The sequence below is a fragment of the Homo sapiens genome, chromosome 6 (assembly GCF_000001405.40).
Source record: "Homo sapiens chromosome 6, GRCh38.p14 Primary Assembly".
Lineage (NCBI taxonomy): Eukaryota > Metazoa > Chordata > Mammalia > Primates > Hominidae > Homo > Homo sapiens.
The window spans coordinates 11214553-11240098 of record NC_000006.12 but is presented as its reverse complement, the minus strand read 5'-3'; the positions used below and the strand labels follow the sequence as shown (position 1 = coordinate 11240098).

The window sequence follows — 25546 nt, the reverse complement described above, 5'->3', positions numbered from 1 at the left end:
ACTACCCTCCACCTCCATCTGCAGAAACAAATTTCTTTTTTTTTTTTTTTTTTTTTGAGATGAAGTCTCGCTCTGTCCCCAGGCTGGAGTGCAGTGGCTCGATCTTGGCTCACTGAAATCTCCGCCTCCCGGGTTCAAGCGATTCTCCTGTCTCATCGTCCCAAGTAGCTAGGACTACAGGTGTGCACCACCATGCCCAGCTAATTTTTGTATTTTTAGTAGAGATGGGGTTTCACCATGTTGGCCAGGATGGTCTCAATCTCCTTACCTCATGATCCACCTGCCTCAGCCTCCCAAAGTGCTGGGATTACAGGTGTGAGCCACCGTGCCTGGCCTATTATTTTTTTTAATACGAACTTAACAAGTCTTTCAGAAAATAGAATGTATTCCTAGGACACTGTTGCTAACGAGGTAGTTCGGGGTAAGGTCGGGTAGCCTTCATGAGGTCTCTTGTGCCAAAATATTAGTGGAGGGAAAGTGAATGAAAGCCCTATTTCACAGTATATAAAGAATCAAGCATTAAAACTCTTTTGGGCTTTTCTCTAATAATAGACTTTCATTCATTCCAAGAGCTTGACCAGTTCAACAGATAAAAGAGGTTTATTGCCTTGAAGTGAGAGGAGCTCATTCCCTTGCCTTCTGAGAAGTGGCTTATTTGTCCCCCTGTTGAATTCAGTGAAGGCAGTGTGCACAGACAAGACACAGGCTTTGAGAGGACAAAAGATGGGGTTCAGTCACCTACATAAGTGCAAAATGGGCTACAACAAAAGAAAAGACAGAACCCTCTTCTATAAATTGCTCAAAATCTCATTGCGGAAAAGAAACTCTCACAAAAGAAACCATGTAAGGGAATACCAAGCACTAAATGGTGTGTTATATACATAAAACTGACTAGAGAGCATATGCAGATTTTTTTTATTTTTATTTTTTTAGAGACAGGGTCTCACTCTGTCTCCCAGGCTGCAGTGCAGTGGCACAAACATGGCACACTGCAGCGTTGACCTCCTGGGCTCAAGTGATCCTCCCCCCTCAGCCTCCTAAGTAACTGAGACTATAGGCATGCACCACCACACCTGGTTAATTTTTTTTAATTTTTATTTCTGTAGAGTTGGAGTCTTGCTATATTGCCCAGGCTGGTCTCAAACTCCTGGGCTCAAGCAATCCTCCTGCCTTGGCCAACCAAAGTGCTAGGATTACAAGTGTGAGCTACCGCACACAGCCATGAAGATCACTTTAAACGGGTAGATTCCATAGCCTCATACTAAGCCTACTGCGGCTCATACTTAAAGGAGAGAGGCCTAAGCATTTCTAATTGTTTCTTAAGGGAAATTGGATTTGGGAAGCATAGACTTAGGCCACAGGTGACGGGAGTCCAGAGATACAGAGGAAGATTGGAGGGAGGAGAGCAACAATGGAGAGATTTTTCTAGGAAAGGTTTTATAAAGAAGATGGGGTACAAGCGGGAGGCACGATAGGATGTAGGTAAGCAGAGCCACGAAGTGGGGCAGAGTGATGAAAGAAGAACTACATACGCACAGGCTCCAACGTGCACGTGAGTAAGGGGTGTGTGCATTTGTATTTACACGGCTGCATCAGCCCTCCTCACAACTCAAGAACAATACCTGTTTCTCAGTTGAGCTTAGTCCCACGAGGGTGGAGACTCGACCTTATTGAGCGGACAAACATGTGCTCAGATAACGAAGTGCATTAATTCATTCATTCATATGAAGAGAATGGCAGCAATATAGCTCCATGGTCAGGGCCACACAGACTCAGAAACCAGAAAGCCTGGGTTCATAAACAAAATGGGCCATCACCCTGTAAGTTGGCGCATGCTGTAGAACTTCTCCAGTCTTGGTTTTGTGAAGTGTAAAGTAAGAACAATACAAGCTACCTCACAGGGCTGTTACGTGAGATGAATATTAAATGGACTCCTGCTTGTAAACATCTGGCACAGGGCCTGGCACCTCGGAGGGTTTCGGTGAAGGCTGAATGAACCAAGAGTCAGTTGTATTGAAGGAGAAAACTCTCAATGGCTGGTCTTTGAGGAGGTTTCTGGAGACTTGTAAAAGACTGGAAAAGTTGCTGCCTCCAATTATTTTTGAAATAAGCTTGGTATATGTAGATTGTTTTTAAAAACTAATGTCAAACTAGAAATGATAAAACATGGCCCTAGAATGGTTCCTTTTTAGGACTGGGCTTGTTCCTCTGGTCTAGCACTCACTCAGCTTCCAGATTGTTCCCCTGTAGATGTGGAAAGATCTATACTTTATTCTGAACTCAGGCATAGATGTACCTTGCACTAATCTAGAGTGTGGGTCGGCAAACTTCTAGAGACAACCAAATAATACTTTTTCTTCTTCGGCTTTGGGGGCTTTGCCATCTCTGTGGCATGTGCTCAGAGTCTGCCATTACAGCTCAAAAGACATCCCTACATGAATAGGGATGGCTGTGTTCCAATAAAATTTTATTTATAGACATCGAAATTTGAATTTCACATCATTTTCATGTCTCATCTTTGGTTTTTTTCCCAACCACTTAAAAATGTAAAAGCTATTCTTGGCTCATAGATGCAGAACTAGCAACAGGCCTTGAGTTGGTTCTGAAAAGGTGCATCCTAACACCATTTTAAATAAATGGAAAACTCACTGCTAAACTCAAACACACGGGGGAATATGTCTTCCCTGTTCCCTTCCTGGGCACCAAACAGAACCTCATGATAAACATACGTTCTTTGAAGTTACATTTATCTTCTTACTCATTGATGCTGCAAGCATTTATGCACCTCTAAGGTATACAACAGGACAGGGGACACAGATGAACAAGATACCACCCTGTTCCCCAAGAACACACATCGGAGCTGGGGAAACAGACATCAACAAATCATTATGAGACAACGTGGAAAGCCCTTATAATAGGGCCGTGTTCCAGTACAATGGGGGCATAGTGAAGGGAGGGAGGAATTAGTTCTGAAAGGGCGAGGTGGGCAGGGTGGGGGTTGTAGACAAGGATACACAAAAGGGTTAGTGTTGAGGCCAAACTTGACAGCAGAAGAGTGAAGGGGGGTCATTCTCAGCAAAGGGGCCTGCCTGTGCAAGTCAGGAAGGTGCAAGTCCGTCTTGGAATCAGTAAGTTCCCGGCAACCCCACACTCCCAAGTATGGCTAGAGGGTGGGATGGGGGTCGGCGGTAGAGGGAGAAAGAAAGGGTGGGTTCAGATGGTGGTCCATGCCAAAGTGTCCAGATTTTGCTTGTTAAGCCATTGAAGTGTCACTAGAGGTTTTTAAACACGGTAGTAATGTGATCGACTCTGTATTCCAGGAATTAAACACGTAGTGAGCAACGTGGAAGATAGATGACAGCAGTGAGAGAGTTAGGCAAAGAAACTAAAAAGAAATCATTAGAATAGACCAGACCAAGAGATTCAGGGGCCTGACCTCACCACCAATTGCTGTTATAACTCAAACTGGTGGGGCCCTGTGTGAGGCACTCAATCTCTCTGAGCGACAGACAGCTCTGCCCTCTCTATGAGTGGCTGGATTAGGTGATTTCCAAAGTCATTTCCTGCCCTCACATGCTCTTCACTCTTTGCCCTTCACTCTTAGAGAGCAGTCACGTGGGTTCATTCCAAGTTGTCAACAGAAGTATTTCTTCTTTCTAGCCTCCTCTTGATTTTTTGCTGTATTTATGCCAGTGCCCAGTTGCAGCTGGAAAATCATTAGAATGGCATCCGGTGCCATTTCCCTCACTCCTGCCTGCACAAGCATCTGGAAGGAAGAGTGCTTGGTTGAAGAGCAGGCAGGCGGCAAGGATGACAGGAGGGGATGCCCACCGGAGTGCTGGCAAGTGCAGGAAGTGGAACCGGAGGCCCAGAGTTCTAGCCAATTTCAGGAGGGTCTCTATGGGAATCCTAGGGCTGCTGCATAAATCAATTACATAGCCCAGTTTAAACATCATTTTTGCATCTGATAGTAATAAATGAGGAAGGGAATTGTTTCTGTATTCACTGAGACAATTTGTGTTTCCCTGAAGAGTTTTAAGGGCAACATACTAAATGACACTAATAAAGTAACAACTATCTGCATTATTTAAGCTGCATTAAGACCAGAGCTCAATATTTTAACTAGTAGCCTGCTGTCCTTGAGTGTTTAACAAACCGGAGAGAAACAGATTACTCCCTGGTCAAAACACTGCAGAGGCTTCATGTCACACTCAGGAAAAAAATCCAAGCTCCCTACCACCTACCTCTCTGAGCTCATCCTCTCCATCCAGCCCTGTGTACCCCACGCTAAGCACACTAGACAGCTTGCTGCGCTTAGACACACTAAGCTCGTGCCTACTGCGGGCCCTTCCCCTGGGTCACTTCTGTCCGGAATGCTCATCCCCTAGATCTCTGAGTGGCTGGATCCCTGAAACTATTCAGATTTCTGCTTAAATATCATCTCCTCAGAGGAGCTTCCCTGACCACTTTATCTAAAATAATACACCTCCTGTCCCACCCTGGTCTGTTTTCCTCCAGCAATTTTCCCTGCTTAATTTTTCTTCATAGCATTTATCACTGCAAATCATATTATACATTCATTTAATTATTTTCCTCAACTCTCACTAGACTGTAAGCTCCATGAAGATGGGAACTTTGTCTGGGCTACTGCTGTATCCTCCCCTCCTAGAAAGGTACCTGGCACATGCTAGGTGCTCTAGTGATAACAGTTCAGTGAGAAAGCTGCCTTATGAAAGAATGGCACACAGAGAAGGGGTTCCTCCAACTTCTTCTGAATGCCTACCACACTTATCAACAGTAGTCTAATATTAATACTAGTTATAATTAATACAATAATTAAATAATAATCTATAGAATATAGCAATAATGTCATAAAATATTAACAAAATATCATAAATCTGATATTAATTAAAATAATAACTAATAACAACAGTAATAAGAACAAGCAACCATTTAAGGTCTTACAATGTAACAAGTACTATTAAATTCTATCCACATTATCTTATTTAATCCTCATTATGAGGCTAGCAGGTATTATTATTTTCTCTATTTCATACTGAAGGACATCAAAATTAAGAAGTTCAACTGGCCAGGCACAGTGGCCCACGCCTGTAATCCCAGCACTTTGGGAGACTGAAGCAGGTAGATCACCTGAGGTCAGGAGTTCGAGACCAGCCTGGCCAATCTGGTGAAACCCCGTCTCTACTAAAAATACAAAAAATTAGCCAGGTATGGTGGCAGACACATGTAATCCCAGCTACTCGGGAGGCTGAGGGAATTGCTTGAACCAGAGATGCGGGGATTGCAGTGAGCCGATATTGCACCACTGCACTCCAGCCTGGGCAACAAGAATGAAACTTTGTCTCAAAAAAAAAAAAAAAAAAAATTAAAAATGTTTTGAGGTTCCAGCACAGGTTTACCTGATTCCAACACCCTTGTGCTTTCCTTTAGGCAGCTAACTATATACTGACCCAAGCCTTCTTGAAATGAACTTCGGGTAGATTACATGTGTCTTACTTACCTTACAGGACAGAAACAGGAAAGCAGGAGGGCCACTAGCTAGAGAATGAAATTACAAAAAAACCCCAGCACAAACTTTAGGAAACTGTTTGAAAACATTAAAATAGGATGGGACAGCACTCACTTACTCAATGATATTCATCAAACAAAACAGAAAAAGGATTCAGCTTGACCACTTAGGAAGCCAAAGGAATGTTATCTAGATCTCTTGGAGGCCGCAAGACTCATCTTACAGATGGGAAGGGCTTTGAATCATTGTCCTCCTTTATCCAGGTAGACACCAAAAACAATTTCCTGCAAACTAACGACTCTCCGGTCAGTCTGCAGGATTCTTAAGGAGATCGTTACAATGCAATATGCTGCGTGCTTAATTTGTGTTCAGAAAGGCCTTGCACAATCACTCAGGCTTATTTTTGCTCTAAGGACAAATGAGGAGAAGCAAGGCCTAATACAGGCTGGAACAGGTATGTCAACCTCATTAGGATGGCCTGGGGGGTCATGTCCCTGGAATCAGTGCCACACTGAACTGCAAACTAACCTGCCAACCCTGTATCTGGAAACCACTTTTGTAGGACAGCTGTTCTCTCATTCCTTTTGCTTAGATCATAAAAGTAGAGTTTTCATCCATTGGGAATTTGTGTGTTAGACGCGAAGGGAATCAGATTCTGATCCAACTTGGTCAGGAAAAAAAAAAATAAGGGCTGATTTTTCCATCCAAGTCATGTAGTCTGGTTGGAGTGCATCCCACTCAGGGACAGCTATTGTCTGGATTCACCGAGTCTCAGTCTTGCCCGGGAAAAAGGAATTTTTCGCCTCACTGCTCTGTCCGTGAGAAGAGTTGCAGAAGGTGACCATTTCTGTTTTCTGGGTGATTCTCTTTCTCTATAGAAATCCTAAAATGGAACCTTTATAGAAATTATGTTCTGTGCTTCGCTGGAGAGAGACTGGTCTTTTTAACCAGGCTCATCAAACAGTGGGCATTTTCGTTCTCCTGGATAATAAGTGTTGGTGGGTTAATGGGTCATCCTCAGGACAGAGGTCAGAAGGAAAAACACTGCAGTGTTCAAAGCTGGAGCTAGAAATGCCAGCCGTCAAAGAACACAGAACTCAGTGGACGGTGATGATGTATAGGGCGTGCACTGGCCAACCCCATCCGAGAGGTCACATCTAACCTTTATCCTCAGCAAAGCCACTGAAGGTCGCTCAATATGTGTGACCCGCAACTCTGAGGCCCTGGTGAGAAGCTGTCCAGGAAAACGCTGGTGCGTGTGCTAGAGGGTTCCTTTTCACTAAGGGAGAATTGTCTTCCAGCTCCTTGCAGACTGACATCGCAAAGTACTTTGAACGTTGAAAAGAACAAAAAAAGCAAACAGTCACACACACACAAAAAGTAGGCGGGAGGAGGGGGAAAGAAAAAGGGACAGAGAGAGAGAGAGGTATCAGCAGGGGTGGTTAGTAAAAAGGGGCCCGGAGACAGAAAACCTTTTGTTCCCGGAGTTCGTTTCATGTAGAGATTGTGAGGTGAATGGCTTTGAAACGAAATGGGTTTATGAAGGAGTTGCTAGGTCACAGGAAGCGCGACTGTCAGACTGCTTTTGTGAATTCAGTTTCTTTAAAATTTGGGTTAATCTTAAAAAGAATGTATCTCCTTTTCCTGTTCTTTCTCTTTCTGTCTTCTTTTTTGGCGGGGGCGGGAGGACAGAGTAAGGTTCAGGACGGTTCCCCACTTTCTGTTTTATTTTCCACCGTCTGATAAAGCAAAAAGAAGCGATCACATTACAAGTTCTTTGTCAGTTTTTCAGAATTAGGGGTGGGCAGGGCCTGAGCATTACCTTGTCCCACTAGCCAATGGCGGGGCGGCATGCAAATGAGGTCCGCGATCAGCCTGCCTCAGTCACAACAGTGAGCTCAGAGACTTGAGGGAGGCGCTGCGACTGACAAGCGGCTCTGCCCGGGACCTTCTCGCTTTCATCTAGCGCTGCACTCAATGGAGGGGCGGGCACCGCAGTGCTTAATGCTGTCTTAACTAGTGTAGGAAAACGGCTCAACCCACCGCTGCCGAAATGAAGTATAAGGTAAGAGAGTGCCTTTTACAGGTTACCTTGCAAGCTGAAAGCTGTGCCTGCGGGTGTGTGCTTGTGTATGCGTGTTCCTTACTGTCAGTCCCTTGTGTGTCCCGGAGAGTTCTAAGATGAGTCTCGGTCACTGAGGTTGACATGCAAGCAGACAAGCAAGCAGAGACCCGGTCTTTGAGACCCACTCCAGGGGTTCACAGTACACCCGAGTCCATCTGCTCTGAAAGTTGCCGGGGAAATACCTCGGTGAGAAGTTAAGACTTGGAGCCGCTTCACAGCAGCCACTGGAGATCAGAGGGTGTCTGACTTGAATCGCGGCAGGCATTGGCTCAAGTCTCCTTGGCTTCCCCAGGCCTGGCTTCCACTGCCCTGGGGAACTGTAATGAGAGGAATGAGGACTGCATAGTCTGTCTCAGACTGGCTCTTAGTGCAAAGTTTTCCAGACTTTGCTTTAATCGTTTGGTCTCGGAAGGAGTATGCCATATGCACTTTTGGTGGGAGAAATTAAAAGCCCAGATTACACAGCTGAGGATGGAAAATTTTGACATCCTTATGTTATATTGGATGTAGGAATAAATAAGTATGAGCCATTTCTTGAAAACATTTTTATTGGAGTTTGAATGGGGTGAGAGTGCGAAGGCTCAGGCTGGCTCATTGTGCCTGAAAGCTTACAGAGTGTCATAGTCATAGTACTTCAGCAGCATTATTTTCCAATGCATTTTACACCATTGTTTGTGGATTTTTCTTGCCAAAAGGATTTTTGACTTGCTCCGTATATTCCCCCCTCCCCTTTTTCTTTTAAGTCACTCCCATCTAAGGAGGCAAGCAGCTTCCAGGGGACACAAAGAAAGCAGACTGCAATGAATTGGACATGAATTTTTCTTGAATGATGAATAGACATGAGTGCTAGTGCTACTATTTTATTTTATGCTATTTTAAACAAAAGTGTTATTATTAAGATGGATTTGGGCAAGGGTGCTAGGCTTGTGGATTGACAATTTATATTAACTGTACACTAGCTGGAAGCTACTTCGCTTTTTTTCTAAATTTTTCTGGTCCATCCTTTTTTGATGTAAGGTTGTAAATACTTGGTCTAACTGATAGCCACTGACTAGCCTCAGTAATAAAGCTTTTGTTCAAAAACTATGAATCTTATTCAAAAGCTTTAAGTCTAAATGTCAAAAGTCTTTATAGTAATGCCTACGTTACCACTGTCTGAAGACACAGGTATCAGCTATTTCTGTTTCATCAGCTTTCTATTATCTTCATCAGTAGGGAAGATCAGAGGAAAGGGTCATCCTGAAGACTATTAATATTTGACTTTAGGATGCAACCAGAAACAAATCCCTCTACTTGGCAGGAAAGTTATCTTCCTTAAAGTGGCTCACCCCATATTTCCTTATTTAGAACAATGATAGGACCAGATATTACTCAGCCTGGAGTGACTTTTTTGCTCCTCCTTTCCCTGTTGTTGAATAAGAACTGGCTTGCAGAAAAAAGAGAAAGTATGTTCATATGTCTATTATTGGAAAGTATAAATGGCTGAAATTAACATTGAGTGCTATAATCTAGAAAGTGACGAAAGCGACAAAGTCTCAAGTCACTTTTATTCAATGATCTCATCGTGGTTAGCTTTACTCTTTATGGAAAGAAAATCTAAAGGCAACTGATAAAGTGACTGACAGCGTAAACTGCGATTGGCATTCATGGAGAAACCTGCTTCTCCACTGGGCCTTACTGGTGTTGAACACCTTGCCAAATGATGTAAATACATGATTTTTATTACCTTGTAGGCACCTTCACCAGCAAAAAAGCTAACTTCTCCGACCGAACACATGACTTATGCCCTATGATGACTATTAAATCAACCAATAGCTGAAGAAATCCACTTTCCTTTTTTATAAAGTTTTCTTTCTCTCTAGTTAATAATGAACAACTTTACTTCAGGAAAGGATTTTGTTATTGTAAGTAGAGGAGAGACACAAAAGTAATGAAGTAACATTAATTGAGACTTACTGTGACAACACAAGATTGTCATATTCAACTCTCCCAATAGCTCTACAAGGTGGGTATTATTTTTATACTCAATTTCAAATGACACAGAGAGGCTAAGTAATTTATCTAATGCCACACAGCTAGAAAGTGGTGAGCTGGGATTAGAACTAAGGCGATCTGGCTCCAGAACTCATGACTTTAACCACTATTAAGAGAAAGAGAAAGAGCTATCGTTGACCTCTCTAAAATATGGCCAGTGTTTTCTTCTCCCAGAAAGTTTAAGACTATTTCATCCCAAGTATTCCTGCAGGATAATTTCTTTTTAAGATAGTAACTCTACAAAGCAAAATGAAGTGCATGTTTGGCAGTTATTTGTTTAATTCGAGCCACTTAGGTAGTAAAACCAGATAATTATTAGATGGTAAAATCCCAGAGACAGGAATTATCTCTAAAATACTACGTTGCTCTATGCACTGTAAATTTAGCACAAACCTTAAAATGTTTACTGAAAGACTTATGAATCAGGCCCTATAAGATTGTCGTTGTTAACCTGATTATCTGGTTTGGCTGCCCCAGGGATCACAACTACGGAACAACAAACCTTCACTTATTTTGCACTTAATATACATAGCTTCAGGCCAGGCAGCAAGGTACTTGCAGTAATCCTGAGAACTGTGGAATGTAAGCTATTACTCCGGACAGACATTTCTGGTTAGCACTTATCTAATCTGTCTTTATTTCCCTGTATGTTTTTATTTGTCCACAGGAAGGTTGCAGTCACTGTCATACGTACTTAATTTTCCATTTCTCTTAGAAGGGATTCAGTCTGTGGTTATGTGATAGTAAATTACGGGGGCTTCATTTATTAAGAATTTTCTACAAAATCCCCTTCATATACAGAGCATGTTCTTAATTGGGCGGGGGCTGGCGGGGTTAGGTGATTGCCTCGATGGCCTTGGTTTGCTTACCCAGTGAAGGCTCCCTCCTGAGGGTCTGGAGGTGTATGGTTGTGCTGTTTCCCAGGAGGGTGATGGAAGGGTCTCTGCGCAGCTGTGTTTGAGCAGAAGCCCCCGAGACCCCACCCCGTTTGTGCCTGCCAGGCCCGAGGCCCCGCCCACCTCAGGCCCAGCCCGGGCGGGGGCTCAGCGGCCCCTTGGCCTGGCTGCTAATGGCTGAGCAGAGACGCTTTTGTGGCTTTGCCAAATTTCTGAGCCCTTACGTGCCTACATTAAAATTCTAAATTATTTATCTCGTCTACCATGCAACAAATTCATTCTTTAACGTTTTGACTGAAGAAAAATTACAGACGGAACTTACAATGCCATTAAGAAAGGTGCATTCTGAAAGTCAGAGTCCTGTGTTCTGGTTGAATGGGGTAGGTCAGGGAAAGGAGAACCTGTGTGCCGTGAAACGCTTTGGAAAGGACTTTGAAAGTATTCGTATTTCCTCAAGCAAGACCGAGGAAAATAATGACAGAGGATCTTTAATTTAGTCAATATGGTCATGCATAAGCTATTAAATTCCCAATTATTTCCTTGCTTTGATATTTTGGTTTAAAATGCTTTATTTTTCTCTGTATGATTTTTGCAACCAATCCAAATGTAGGACTCCTGTCCTTTTCCTTTTTAAACCTTGTATGAGATCTATGGATTTAAAATCACTAAAACATGCTTTGAAAAATATCAACTTGGTTATTTATGTATTTATGCATTTATTTATTTATTTAGTAAACCCATTTGCAGAGCTAAATGGCTTACCTACACAGAGATAAAAGCCTTTAGAGTACTGAAGGTGCCTGATAATACCAAATTTAGCAAGTTGTACAGTGCGTAACATGCCAAGGATTCCTTTAGCATCCTTTCCTTGCTGGGATACACGTCAGTCCCTGTTCTCAGAATTCAGTGGTTCCCTGTCTCTCCCTTCACTCCAGTCTTCTGAAAAAAACACCTTCCTCTCCACTTTTCTTTTTTTCTTTTTTTGAGATCAAGTCTCACTCTGTCGCCCAGGCTGGAGTGCAGTGGTGCCACCTCAGCTCACTGCGACCTCTGCCTCCTGGGTTCAAGTGATTCTCCTGTCTCGGCCTCCTGAGTAGCTGGGATTACAGGTGCCCACCACCATGCCTGGATAAGTTTTGTATTTTTAGTAGAGATGGGTTTCACTGTGTTGGTCAGGCTGGTCTCGAACTCTTGACCTCAGGTGATCCACCTGCCTCAGCCTCCCAAAGTGCTGGGATTACAGGTGTGAGCCACCGCACCCGGCCTTTTTGCAAATTCTCTCCCACTTTCGTGCTTTTATGACCTCATTGGTTCTCCTTTTATCTTCTTCTTCTTCTTTTCAGGCTTTCCTTACGCTTCTTTAATACTGACTTCCGTAGATCTTACTTCCAACCCCCTACTCCCCAGCCCCCCACCCGCACCTATCTACTGCCGCCCCCTTGCCTCCCACACACAGATGTGACACTTTTAATGCACATTCTGTAGCCCTCATTTTTCCTTCTCCTTAGACTCTGCTATGGGAAATCTTGGTCCCTCACTGCCCCCATTCATCTGCCTCTCTGTTTGCGTTTACATGACTTGAGTGGCCTGTCAGTCCCGCTAGTAAAGTCTCCTCATCCATCCACTCTGTTTAAACAATCAAACTCTGAAACCTGTGTCTCCTGGACCATCCTATAATCCCTAAAATAGGCTGTTATGCTTTTCACCTCTGCCCTACTCTGTTAGCACTACCTTACTTATTGACCTCTTTCAATCAAATCGTTATCTAAAGGATACCTGTAACTCAGATAGGTTGCCTACTGGGCCTGTTTAGTTTTAAGTAAACCCCACTGAATATGAGAGACCCACCCTCTATTTGTATGTAGAGGCAGATTGATCGAAAAGTCCTTGAATAAAAAACATGATCTAGGGTCTGTGAAGTTTTGAGGGGGCCAAGACTTGGTGTTTTATGCTCTTGTGTTAGAGACATGATAGAGCATGGGCTTTGAAGAAAGGCATTTCTGTTCCTTATGGCTTATAGCTCTGGACCTTAGGCAAGTTAAGCTCTCTAAGCCTCATTTTACAGCATTGTCTGTAAAATAGGGATAAGAATAACTGCCTCATACTATTCGAAGACCTGGGATAATATATGAATGAAGTACTTACTATGGCTCTTGGCATATAGTAAGCAGACAATGCAAGCTGGCTCCAGCTCTCTTTGTATGGTAGATGCTCAATAGATGTTGAAAGGATGGTATGTACTCAAGACTTGGTGACAGAATTATGTCAAAATCCCAGTTACTAGGTTGAGATGGTTGAATATTGTTGAGTATTCTGTGGGCCTGGATGTGTATTGTAAGCATAGGGCCCTAACAGCATATGACCCCACTTGCTAATATACTAATGACTTGATTCCTTCATTATTGTTCATTGGACTCAGTATTCCTGAAATTACAAGACTTTGCTCATAGAAGACAAAATGTATACACAAATAGCCATTTAAGAGGATCTTAATACTATATGGCATAGTAAAAAAACAACAACAACAACAAAAAACATGGGCTTTGTTTCAGATCCCACTTTTGTTACTTTCTAACAGTATAGTTTTATGCTAGCTACTTTAAACCTTCTTTTCCTCATTTATCAAATGAGAATAATACCTGTCTTGTCAGATAGTTATAGGATATAATATATGACAATTGTCCTTTCTAGCAGATATTAGGCATTTAATAAATGGCAGCTATTATATGATGTTATATACACATACCCACAAAGATATACAGATATATAGATATGGAATTTTTATATAGATAAAAGTGTTTAAAGGAGACATTCACTAGAATTGTTTACCCATAACAGAAATATCAGTGAGGAAGAGAAAGTCGTCAATTCAAAAAACCAAAGATAAAATCCAAAGAATGTAAGTTGGGAGTACATGAGAAGTTCAGGGTGAACTCTCTTATCCAATTGCAGTCAATTAGAATGACATAAATGTAAAGTAAGAGGTCTTGGTTGTCTATGTTTAGATCATTTTAGGGTCAGAAAGAAATCTGAACAAATTGGTTTGAAATGCCAACCACTAGGACCAAGGCAATACTCTGCAAGAACATATAGGCTGAATTACCAGGACTTCTCGCCAAGACAAATGAAACAGGGCCATTGGGAAGAAATACTATATTTCTAACTTAAAATGCCAGAGAGTAACTGACGGTTTCCTAGGTGATAGATGGTTGCAAAGAGTACGGGCATGAAAAGGGGACACACACACACAAAAAAAAACCCTGTTTATACTTTGCCAACAACACCCCCCTCCATCTTATTTACTTTGAACATTCCAGCCATCTCTCTGCAGTAATTCCTGCTGGCTAATGAGGATTCCACACAGCTAGGGAACATGACAGCCTGCAAAGGATTATTTTCCTGAACAATCTGCATTTTAAGATAAGTCACCTTGTTGGTAACCTTTTGTACCCTTCATTGGAAAGGGTGACTCTCTTTGAAGACAGTTTGACCAAACAATGAGATCTAGGTGAATTTGAGGAAGATAGAACGGGCACTCCAGAAATATGGATAGTGGTGGAGCTGACAGCAGTTTTTCATGGTTGACGTAGGGAGTGGAGGCAGCTGTCATGGAGATATTAAAGTTGCCAGTGGAATGTTTTCCAATACATATTCCTGGGCCCCACAATGGACTATTAAATCCCAGTTATTCTTTAAAAAAAAAAAAAAAAAAAGGCCGGGCGCGGTGGCTCACACCTGTAATCCCAGCACTTTGGGAGGCCGAGGCAGGCGGATCACGAGGTCAGGAGATCCAGACCATCATGGCTAACACGGTGAAACCCCGTCTCTACTAAAAATACAAAAAATTAGCTGGGCATGGTGGTGGTCACCTGTAATCCCAGCTACTTGGGAGGCTAAGGCAGGAGAATGGCTTGAACCCGGGAGGCGGAGCTTGCAGTGAGCCGAGATTGCACCACTGCACTCCAGCCTGGGCGACAGAGTGAGACTGTCTCAAAAACAAAACAAACAAACAAATAAACAAACAAACAAAACAGCTAGTCTCTTTCTCCCTAATCCCCTCACTAACCACTACTAGTGCTTCTGGTGCTTACACGGTGTCTAAGTAGGTAGTTCATGATCCTTATTCAAAGGCTGGATCCAGTGATTTGTAAGTGTCATGTTTCTTTGCAAATCTCAGTCTTGCGAATTAGAATTCCCCCTGATATGTCTAACATATCAAGGTAATAGTTATATGATGTTACTAAAAATGTCCCTCACATGAAATGTTATGTTTATGCCCACAGGAAACAAAGATTTAGCAACAAATATGTAAAAGTGAAACCATTTCAAGCAACAAAAATATTTGATAGCCCTTTTGAAATTAATTTGAATTCCTTTTTTTACTGTGTGTATGTGTGGTTGGGGGGCAGGGGGGCGGTGGATGGATTAATTATCTGTGAAACCCAGTAGAAAGTTGCAGTAACCAAAACACGTGTAAAGTTCAGATTTGAACCAGATCTCCTGTCTACTTCTTAAGGCATTGTGCATTTAGATAGTATATGTCATTCATGTTTTTCCTAGGTTTTATTGGTCAGGCAGAAACACTGTGCTATCTCTTGGTAACTATGAGTTAGCCTTAATCTCAGTGATTCATGACAGTCCACTTGTTTTCCTTAATTTAATGCCTCACTCCCACAGGAGATGAGGCTAACTGAGGACTCATCTAGAGGACTCTTTAAGAATGAGCTGGGCTTTTCTGCCCCCCAACACCCTCCGCCTCCCAAAATAACCATAACAGGCAAAGCCAGCACACAGAAAATGGCAGTAAGTGGACTTCTAGACACTCCAGCTACTTCTGAGTCTTCAGTGTCAGGACACATCAGTCATCTGTCGATGAGATTTTTTTTTTCTTTTCCTTTTGTTCTTTCGTTCTTGTTACTAGTCACTGTGGCATGACTGAGAGTTTGGCAGGAAATGGGTTCGTGGACCTGTGGTACAGTCGCACTACCACAGCAGCATTGGCCTAGCAAAATGTTGAGCCCTCTTTCCCTTGCATGCTCCCCTGGGGCAGAAGTCCAGTGCTATCTCCGCTTCCCTGACCCTCTCCACTCAGAGCCCAGCATGACAAGCACACCTTTAAATGGGTTCAAGGAAGGGAATAGCAGAAATGAACGCAGCCCGACAGCCTCCTTTCTCTTGATAACCCCTGTCACTGTGGAGCTGGACTTCTAGGCTATCTCACAGAGGCCCAGAGGCACTGGAATCGATCTCATTTCCTTACAGACATCACCTTGTCAATTAGAGAACACATAACGTTGATTGAATTTAAGATTCTTATCAGTGCCTAGCTCTTTTTCTCCCAAATCCGAAATTCAGCCATGGCAGATCCATAATCAAGAAATATACTTACATTCCCATCCTTTGTTGTTGGTTTCAAAAATATTTCTTTTTTGTGAGTATGTATCCATGTTTTACAAACCAAAAAAATGGGACATATGGTCTGACAAAGGGAAGGATATTTGAACCTGGGGACTGCCTGGGAGAGTCCGGAAGCACATGGTCACTCTAGAGACTGTCATCAAGGGCTGCTCCTGAGATTAATCCACTGTCGAAGGCATTATCCCATCTCCCTTACAGCAGCCTTTTGCAGGAAACTGTCTAAGATGTTGTGCTTTTTTTTTCATTGACTTGTAAATAACAAGGTGCTCTCTTTCCTTTTCTTTGCAGAAATAGGCATCTTTAGAAATAAAGCCATGCCCATTTTGAAATAAGAACTTGTTTGGAACACCTGAGAGTGTTAAGCAGTGCGGGGGATTTGCATCCAATTGTTCTTGCTTTAAACCTGGCATGGGCGCTCTCGCCTCATAGCCCGCAGCACCTGAATCAAGCCTCCTGCCTCCCTTATTAAGATCTTAATTACAGACTCAGCTTAGTTCATTGCTGAAGGGAAAGAATTTCATTTCTCTGAAGTGTGTCTGTTTTTTGGTGTGGCAGGTGTAATCATGATAAGATCATTTCTGGGTTTTTTGTTTTGTTGGTTTTTTTTTCCTAGAGGAAGTTTTTTTTTCCAAGGGGAGGAGTACAGTTCTTAAGACACAATTTCATGAGCTCATCTTGGCGCAGTAATAATAACTGTGCTTTGATTTTATAGAGACTCTTTTTCCTGAAGAAATCAGAGCATTTGGAGTAAATAATCTCATGATTCCTCATATTTTTATAAAGAAGAACATGTCTATTAATATTTATTTTGCAGACAGGGAAACAGAGGCACAAAAGGCAGAGATTTGATGGTCATTAGTCTTCAAATGTGAAGTCTGAAGCTAGACCCTCCTAATTCAGTCTGGTGTCCATTCCTCTATCCAGGGTTTCTCAACCTTGGCACTATTGACACTTAGGGCCAGGTCATTCTTTGTGGTGGGGGCTGTCCTGTACACTGTAGGATGTTTAGCAACATCCCTGGCCACTCTACCCACTAGATGCCAGTAACACACGTGTGCATGCATGTGCACATGCACACACACACACAGTGACAACCAAAAAATGCCACTAAACATTGCCCGTACCCAGAGGGGACAAAAATCCTCCTAGTTGAGAAGCAGTGGTCTAATCTCTTCTACTCCTTCTCCTTAAAAATAACTGCCCTACTCAAAAATACCCCCATAGAACTGACTGCCATAATTTTATCATTACTGATATTGAGCTTAATGTAACAGGTCCTAACCAAAAAGCAACTTCCTCTTACAGGCCTAGCCCCAGTTTGTTTCAGTGAATACCACAAAATACTAAGAAGCGCAGAGTTTCATTCAAGTCAAATGTAAAACCCATCAAACCATCTCTAAGGCAACTTTAAAGTATTTCTCTGGCTTCTCTCTCTACAATATGTACCTCATCATGGAACATGCATTTAGAGCTGGGTCTTTAAGAAAGCTATTTTATTCTCATAAACTGGTGTATAACATGTGCGTGTAAGAGCTTGTCTCTCCACCTCGGCACTGAACAATTTCACAATGAAGGTTTTTTGTTCCCTTTGCTCCTGCCACCTTTTCCCTGTCTTCTAACTAAGAAGCTGCAGCTTCAAAAACTCTTCCTTGAGACAGCTTAGTGGCTGCATTGCTGACAGTGTATGACTGTAAACACCTCTCAGCCAAGTGTGTGAATCTGTTTTCTAAAACTCTCTGAGGACCTCACAAGTGAAGTAGATAATACCAATCAGGCACCAAATCCAGGTCAAGTGACATCTAAAAGAGTTCCAGGGAGGGTTGCATCCTATTTACATCAACTCGGTTCTGGCTGGGAGATGGACAACAGTTGCCAGGATGTGTATGCATTTGTATTGGTGGGTTTAGATATAACCTTGGGCTGCATAGCTTGGTGAAGGAAGATAAGATAGACAGGAATGGAAAAATAGGAACCTCTTTTTCTTCTTTCAAACACCTTATCAGATGTTATAACTTGTGCATTTTGACTTTGAGAAATGACATCATTTTTGGAAGTATATTGTAATATAGTAGATTGGGGTCTCCTACTCCATTAAAACTTAATTCTTATTTCTCTTCCCTGAGTACCTGGATGTTAGAGGGATTTGTCTAGACAGGCAGATAGATATGATCCAGTGCCAACACTGTAATGCTGGCTGAAATCCAGATGGTTGTTTTATTGTTAATAAAATCTATCTTGTGGGTGGGTGGGTGTCAGGCCTTCATCATTATATGGTGCCTGTCAGATTTATCTACAGACAGAACCCTGAAAACAGCTTGTGCCTGCCCCGCATTTTTGACCCCTTGCCAAGATACTGTACTGAAATCTATCAAAATCAGGCAACCTGGGACAAATGCTTCGAGATTCCAAGGCTTAATAGCAACAGTGCTGACTTCTAAGATGGAGAAGATTCTCAGGAAGGGCATCCTTGTCCGGTGGGGAAAAATTCTAGATTAAGAGGTGAACCAGATGCTAGCTCTGGCTCTGCCGCTAATCTGAGACCCTCTGGGCTGTAAAATAAGGAGATTGGGTTAGAATGGTTCCTTCTTACTCTGAAATTCTACTCTAATCAACTCTGGTCAAGGTATGGGTGACTTCTGGTTCTAATACCTATAAAAAACCTAGGTGTTCTTCCCCCTTCTTTTTTTCTTTTTCTTTTTCTTTTTTTTTTTTTATGACAGAGTCTCGCTCTGTCACCCAGGCTGGAGTGCAATGGCGTGATCTCAGCTCACTGCAACCTCCGCCTCCCAGGTTCAAGCAATTCTCCTGCCTCAGCCTCCCGAGTAACTGAAACTGCAGGTGCACACCTCCATGCCTGGCTAATTTTTTGTATTTTAGTAGAGACGGGGTTTCACCATGTTGCCCAGGCTGGTCGCAAACTCCTGAGCTCAGGCAATCTGCCCACCTCAGCCTCCCAAAGTGCTGGGATTACAGGTGTGAGCCACCGTGCGCGGCCTCCACCTTCTTTAAGATTCTCAGGAGTTGCTTCGGTAAACCCAAAGACCACAGATGAGTGAAAAAGAACTCAGCAGTCAAATTCATCTTCCACCGTGGGCCAGGAAATAATAGAAGTTGACTGTGACATTGCACGTATACACACATATATGCAAATCTGCCTACTAACTCTTTGCCCTAAGATTTTGTTGGTTACATAGTAAACAAATCCTAGCATATGAATGTGTCTGTCCAGCACGAACCCTAAATCAAGCAAGAATAGATGGCATTCATTCAAGTATGGGGAAGGAGAGGAACCCAGCTTTTGAGGAACCCCTTTGTAATTGCACAGCTATGCTGTCCATATCATGTTACCAAATCTGGTCAGAGAGAGATTTCTTTCTGAGATCCAAATATCCAAATTTGCAGTGAGCATCAGATCTTTTCACCAGTCCTCAAAAAGTAACTTCACTTTGGTATATGAGCCACCAAAATAGTGCTGGGTTCCAAATGATCCTTCATCAGACAGGATTGGCCAGTGTGGAAGAGATGTTAAGATTCCAAGCCCTGGATCTACAACCACACACAGGGCGCTGCCCCACAGCACATCCAGGGAGTATTAACAGCTTCTCTTGCCATGTCAAAGAGTACCTTCGGGAGGCAAGTATTTAATGTCACATTTCTCAAACCTTCTCCCACTCAGACATGCTCAAAAGAGAATGCTATAGCTAAAGTTCACAAAGCTGGAAAATCTAAGAAAACTTGAGGACTCGGGGCAAAGTGAATGACGTCAAGATTCGGCGGGGGGGTCCAAGATACTCCTATAAGCTTTGTAACTGTCATAGGGGTCTAGAAGAAGCACTTCCCAGAAAATAAAAATTACTGCCTGAAATGCAGTCTGGGTGCCACAGGAGGCCTTGTGGGAAATGTTGAACACCTCTCAGCAGTGGGCAGAAGGATGCCAGGGATTAGTGGGACAAAGTGGGGTCCTGCTTTTGCCTTTCTGTGAGCTCCATTCAGCTCACCTAGTGAAAAGTGTGTCAGAACACAGTCGACAAATAGTACTGGGAAAAAATTAGCATATCTTATATTATATCATAACTTATCATATCTTCTGTCTCCTGTATTGAAAGCTTCATGCCTGTGACTTCATAATCTCAAGAGGAACCAACTCAAAAAATTCGACATTCCAGATCTTCAGATGCAAGAACCTAAGTGTAAACCAAGTATTCTGAGAATTAAAATCCTGACACTTACAGATATCCATGTTTTCTGACTATGGCTGTTTCCTTCTCTGGGGAAAGCCCACATCCCCCTCTATCCCAAAGGTGATGGTGGGAAGGAAAGGAGAAATGTAGCCAAAATGGTTTGCAGTTCTCAGACCAAAGCCGGTTTTCGTCAGTATGCACAAAAGCACGTGAGCCTTTCTTTCTCTTCCCTGTTGTGCCCTGAGACTGACCTTGACAATGTTCATCCCTCAGCTGCCTGCCTTAGGACTGACTTCCTTGATGATGGCCATTTCCTTGAATGTGTCTGTTTCTCAGGGTCTGTCCTCTGCATGCATGCATTTGCGCATGCAGGCATGCAAACCCACAAGAGTCCAGGCTAAAGTTTTGGGGGATTGGGTACAGGAAAATCATGTCATTGAGAATGGGGCAACCCTGAGGCCATGGCAGGATCCCCTGCATGACAAATATAGAATGAAGTAAAAATAATCAGAGGAAGCCGGGCCATTGATGATGCTATCAGTCTTAGTGGGGTGATACACCAGACATTCTGTCTCATTTCTCTTCAAACGACCGCATGAGTGGTCATGGAAACTACAAGTCACACCTCTCCGTATTTGGAAAAGCAGATCGTTTCTCTGACATAGGAGTAATAAGCTTTCTTGACATTTTGATAGCAGTGAGGGAAGGGAAAAAAGGCAGGGAGGAGTTGGAGGTGGGGTGAGGGGTAGAAGCCGTCATGTGTCCTAGAGCTCTCTGTACCAGCGTTCTGGTCAACTGTACAGTATTTTCTTCCCACTCCTCAGGCATAGCTTGGGAACCAGGAACAGCAGAACCCAAGTGGTCTGGCAAAGTGTTTGAATGGTGCTCTGTCACCTAGTGCCAAAAGCAGATTGCTACACTGAAGGGAGAAAGGCTCTTAAAAGAGACCATTGTGTTTAATCTCACTGGGATGGTCAGTTCCTCTTGGCCTTCCTGTTTGCTCCGTAGTTGCGAACACTAGTTTCAGGGGGGTCAGGCTCCCGATCTGCGTCATTATCCTGTTTAAATAGGGAGGGGCAGGCCCTTTCCTGCTGTCTGTCTCCCATAGTCTCTGGCTGTGAGGCTTGAGTGACTTGGACATGACATTTCTCTTTCTGGTTCATTCATTTTCCCCACTTCCATCTGAAAATTCTAACCAAATGTCTTGCTGAATTCTCTAAGTACAACAATTTCACCCTCCCTGCAGACAATGAGGAAATCAGAGTCCAGAATCCATTTCAACTTAGCAAACATTTACTGAGTCTATATTTTGTTTCGGATACTGGGGTAAAGTTCTGGAAATGCAAAAGGAATTTGCATCTCTGAACTTAAGGAGTTCACAGTCTTGAACAGGGCAATCCAAGTTGTACTGTAAAGAAATAGTATGATCGAGAACTGGGAAAGGAAACAGCCTTTGAATAGATACCCATTCTGGTTAAATGGAAGATGGGTTTCGAGGGAGGAAGGAATTTAATGCAGGAAAGCCAATTGGGAAGCAATTTCTGTGCTACAGAAAAAAAAAAAAAAAAAGTTGCTGAAGACCTGAATGAAGGGTGGCAGTGAGGTGGAAAGCAGGGCCCCAGATGGGTTGCAGGTCATGAAGAGACACAGCAAACCTCTGCGGCTCTTACTGCACAGCTGTGTGCATGCTGTTAACCAAGCAAAGCAAAGCAGGAGAAAAAGGTGTTTGCACTTGCTTTTAGAGAGGAAGATGCCCATTAGACTGGATATAAGGGACTGGAATGCAGAAGAAATATCCAGCGAAGACTATGGCTTTAGGAATTATCTGTGTGTTCAGATGCCATCCTCCTGTAGAGCGTAAGCACATAGCTGAGAAGAGGAAAGTGCAAAGGACAAATCTCTTTGGAACATGATCACTTTAGGGATGGGAAAAAGATTTAGTCTCCAGTGGAGAATAAGGATGAGAGTGGTCAAGAGAAGACAGAGAACGAAAAAGTGGTATCGTGGAGGCCAGAAGAAGACAGTTTCAAGGAAGCTTGGGCTGGGGATCAAGGCTAGAGGCTGCTGCAATCAGGGTTCCCTCAGATAGGGCTCATGATCCTAAATGCTGATTTGCAATCCTGATTAGAGCCACAGCTTGTGTTGCACCTGTATTTCACTTGACTAAATTCTGTCCTAATTCTAGACCTGAAGACAAGAGGCCTGAATTCCTGTCTCAGCTCTAAGACTTTCTTGCCAGGTGAGCTGGCAAATCATTAACTTCTTGAGGCTCATTTTTTTCTTTTGTAAAGTGAAAGGGTTGGACGGTAATTGTTTAAAGTTCCTTCTGGCTTTCAAGTTCTGTGCCCTAACTGTTTTGGTGTTTTGCCAAGCTCTAGCTGCACTGCTAACTGCCAGCCTTTGGAGACTAACCATCCAAGTGAATATAGAGTTACATAGCTCTCTTATCTCTCCTTGATTTGTTTCTGTGTTGACCTTCCCTACCCTGGAGATAAATATCCAAGGGGGTGAGTGGGCAGGAGAAAGAGTACATCTTGAGTAGATTAAACTGCCTCTCTGGGGTTTTTCTAAGATAGCAGATCATCAGCTTCTGACTTTGTGGCTCAAGGAATCACACCTTTGCACTGAAGGAGAGGATCCCTCCACTTCCTTGCCAGAAGAATTCATTCTTGATTTTCCTATTACGACTGATGTGCACTTTTGAATGAGATGGTTTATGGTCCAGCTGAAATTCATTTGGCTGTTATGGTCTTACTGAAACCTTGCACCAACACCAAATCTTTTCGAAAGTCCAACTCCTGCCTCATGCCTTTTCCTACCTGCTGATGTATTATCTGTGTTGGAATCTGATGACATTTATCCATAATTTATCAAGTAGTATCATTATTAATATGTTGTCTCAGAAGTTCCCTTGAATGCAACCAATGGTTTCACTATTGCTGTTTGTAGGCAGATACTCAACAAGAGGTTGCAGTGACAAGAACTCATTCATAATTCAGAAATATACTGCTTTAAGATAACAGTTCTTCTGAAATGTAATCCTGAGCAAGATAAATATCAGATAGGTACAAAACATATATAATAGCATCATTGGAATAGGACCAAGCCTGGACTGCAAATGGAAAGGAGGCAAGGCGGGGAGGGAGCCTGAAGCCCAAGGGCCATCTAGCAAATTAAATAAAACATCACCATAGCTTACCAAAGACCGGGAAACTAAGGCCCAAAGGGATGCTGTTGCCTGGCAAAGTAACACAGCTAGAACCTAAGACCGCAAATATCCAATTTATTCCATAGACACAAAAAGAAGAACCGCTCCTCTTCAGAACTTTATCATATAATGGAACTGAGCCCAGTAACAAGGATGCTGCGTGGCTGAGCTAAGGTAGCTTAAAGTTCTGGAAAGAGGATTAAACTGAAAGAACGCAATTCTCTTTCCATCGCTGCCAATAGTGTGGTCTTGGGCAAATGATAAACTTCAAATCTATTTCCTCATCTGTGACACAAGGGCATTGTGTCCAGGTGATCTCTAAAGGTCCCTGGAGCCGTAAGCTTCGGTTTAGGAGAGTGGCTGGATGTAGACATTGGCTCTCTGTAGCTTGCGCAGATATTAAATAACTCATACTCCTGTTCGGCCAAGGCTGAGAATATGTATCGGTGTGTGAATAGGCTGGTGCCGGGGTCCTGGCTACTAACAGCACTGACAAGCTGTGCCTGAAACCTAATCTCTATGGGCACTGAGGAGGACTGCTGGGAAGTCCTGACAACCAGTCAGGAGGACTCACCTGCGGTGCCCACATTAGCCCAGACTGTGGGGCTCTGAGAGTTTCCCCCAAGAAGCAGCTCACAGGCCAGTGTAGAAACATTAGCCAGCTGCTCACCAGGTGGTAAGAAGGTTACTGGGGCAGGAGACAAAGAACGCCCAGGACGACTCTCGCACGGGGATTTCTATCTGCCTCTGATCAAGCATGCTCCGGTGCTCCACTTCAGTGCCTCATGGTGCTCTTGGAGTTGGAAGTGGCCCAATTCCGAATGCCTTGAGCTGATTTATGCTGATTAGATCTGTAGCCCTTTGCCTTTCTACTGTTTTCTGTTTCTCTTCTTTCCCTTCTTTGTAGCCAGTATAATTGCACAGCTACCAACCCTCAGCTCCCATACAACTAGCCCGACTCTGTTGCTTCTGATTTCATGTGGGGGCTTCCCGATTGCTGAATGGGCCCAGAAGAAAGGGACAGACAGAGGCCAGAGTGGTCAGCTATCTCCTCACTTAATAATCTCAGTACAGCTCTGGTGGAGTCATTTCCTGGAGGTCATTTTAGTAAAAGGACCAGAATCTTGTCCTCTGTAACTCTATGACTTCTCTTGTAAAATACAGAATACCCAAAAGATGGGAGAAGAGAAACAGAGACAATTTTAGGATTATGACACCATCCTTAAATGGTTCCATGAACAGGGGAAACTGCTGCCTGATTTTTTCTTTATGTATGTGAACTTTTCATTGTTAGATGAAACCCAGCGCCTCCTGGAATATTAACTACCCAGTGAAACCTTCCCCTGAAATATGCACTCCTCAGTTTCCCTTTAGCTTCCCTGGCCGCTCACCTCTCTGTGTCTCACACTTCCTGGATCTCATAACTGTCAAGAAAAAGGACTTCAACCTTATTCTTGAAGAGTATCACAAAGCTTCCTGAGGACTGTCCTCTATGGCTTTATCTCTTTTAATTGCCCTGGCTAAGAGGAACCTGGCTCACAGCAGCAGAACTGGACCCGTCCCAACTACTGAATAGAGGGCAGATCCCTTCCATTGCACAGCCCTCCAGAGCGGAAAACACACAGGACCCGTGGCAATGGGGCTAGCACAAGGGGACGCGAGTAGTGCAAGTCAGCTGCAAAGAAATGAAAAGCACGAGGCTGAATGATCAAGTCCACGTTGCTAGAGAAGAAAATAGACAGCAAAAGCTCAGACAATGACAGCCGAAAATCCCACGAATATGTCATGGTATAAAATAAAGTCATGAACCTGCCCCATCCAATCCGTAATCCTTTCTTCCATAAATGAGCCCCACCTCAATGACATTAAGTGCATCCAAACATCTTAACAAAGCATTAGAGTTCACTTTTAGTGTTCCGAGGGCTTGTGCTGAATCAACAACGTCCCCGACTTCGCTGTGCTCTGGGAAGGGGGCAGACATGCGGGAATGGCTGCCCGCGTGCTGGGAAACTTTACTAATGCCAAGAAATGAAATCTTCCGAGCCTTTGAAAGGCCTCCAAGAATGTCAGCACGTACTGCCTGCCCACTCTCTGCTGAATGCCTACTTTGGCTGTCTGCTTAGTACTGAATGTGCCAGACAGGCCTTCATACAA

The 25546-nt window shown here is 43.3% G+C and overlaps 1 protein-coding gene and 1 long non-coding RNA gene across 6 annotated transcripts in view, besides 2 other annotated features; both read left to right on the top strand.

Annotated features, from left to right (window-relative positions):
* Nucleotides 1-25546, top strand: part of NEDD9 (neural precursor cell expressed, developmentally down-regulated 9) — a 199051-nt gene that overhangs the window by 142250 nt on the left and 31255 nt on the right. For 3 of the 5 annotated variants that reach the window (NM_001271033.2, NM_006403.4, NM_182966.4), the window contains exon 1: nt 7431-7595. The exons of the other annotated variants lie outside the window; for them this stretch is intronic. In NM_001271033.2, the coding sequence (NP_001257962.1) occupies nt 7584-7595 (12 nt within the window). In that variant the 5' untranslated portion in view covers nt 7431-7583. Of the gene's footprint in view, nt 1-7430; nt 7596-25546 lie in introns of those variants that run through there. 5 annotated transcript variants of the gene reach the window in all.
* Nucleotides 7344-7393: a silencer, noted in NCBI's record as "silent region_16912". NCBI's record gives its function as "represses an Ori minimal core promoter by ATAC-STARR-seq in GM12878 lymphoblastoid cells {active_cell/tissue: GM12878}" and the evidence as "EXISTENCE:reporter gene assay evidence [ECO:0000049][PMID:35858748]".
* Nucleotides 7874-7923: a silencer, noted in NCBI's record as "silent region_16911". NCBI's record gives its function as "represses an Ori minimal core promoter by ATAC-STARR-seq in GM12878 lymphoblastoid cells {active_cell/tissue: GM12878}" and the evidence as "EXISTENCE:reporter gene assay evidence [ECO:0000049][PMID:35858748]".
* Nucleotides 9389-20238, top strand: LOC124901256 (uncharacterized). The gene is made up of 2 exons (XR_007059449.1): nt 9389-9660; nt 20110-20238. It is a non-coding gene; the product is annotated as an uncharacterized LOC124901256 (long non-coding RNA).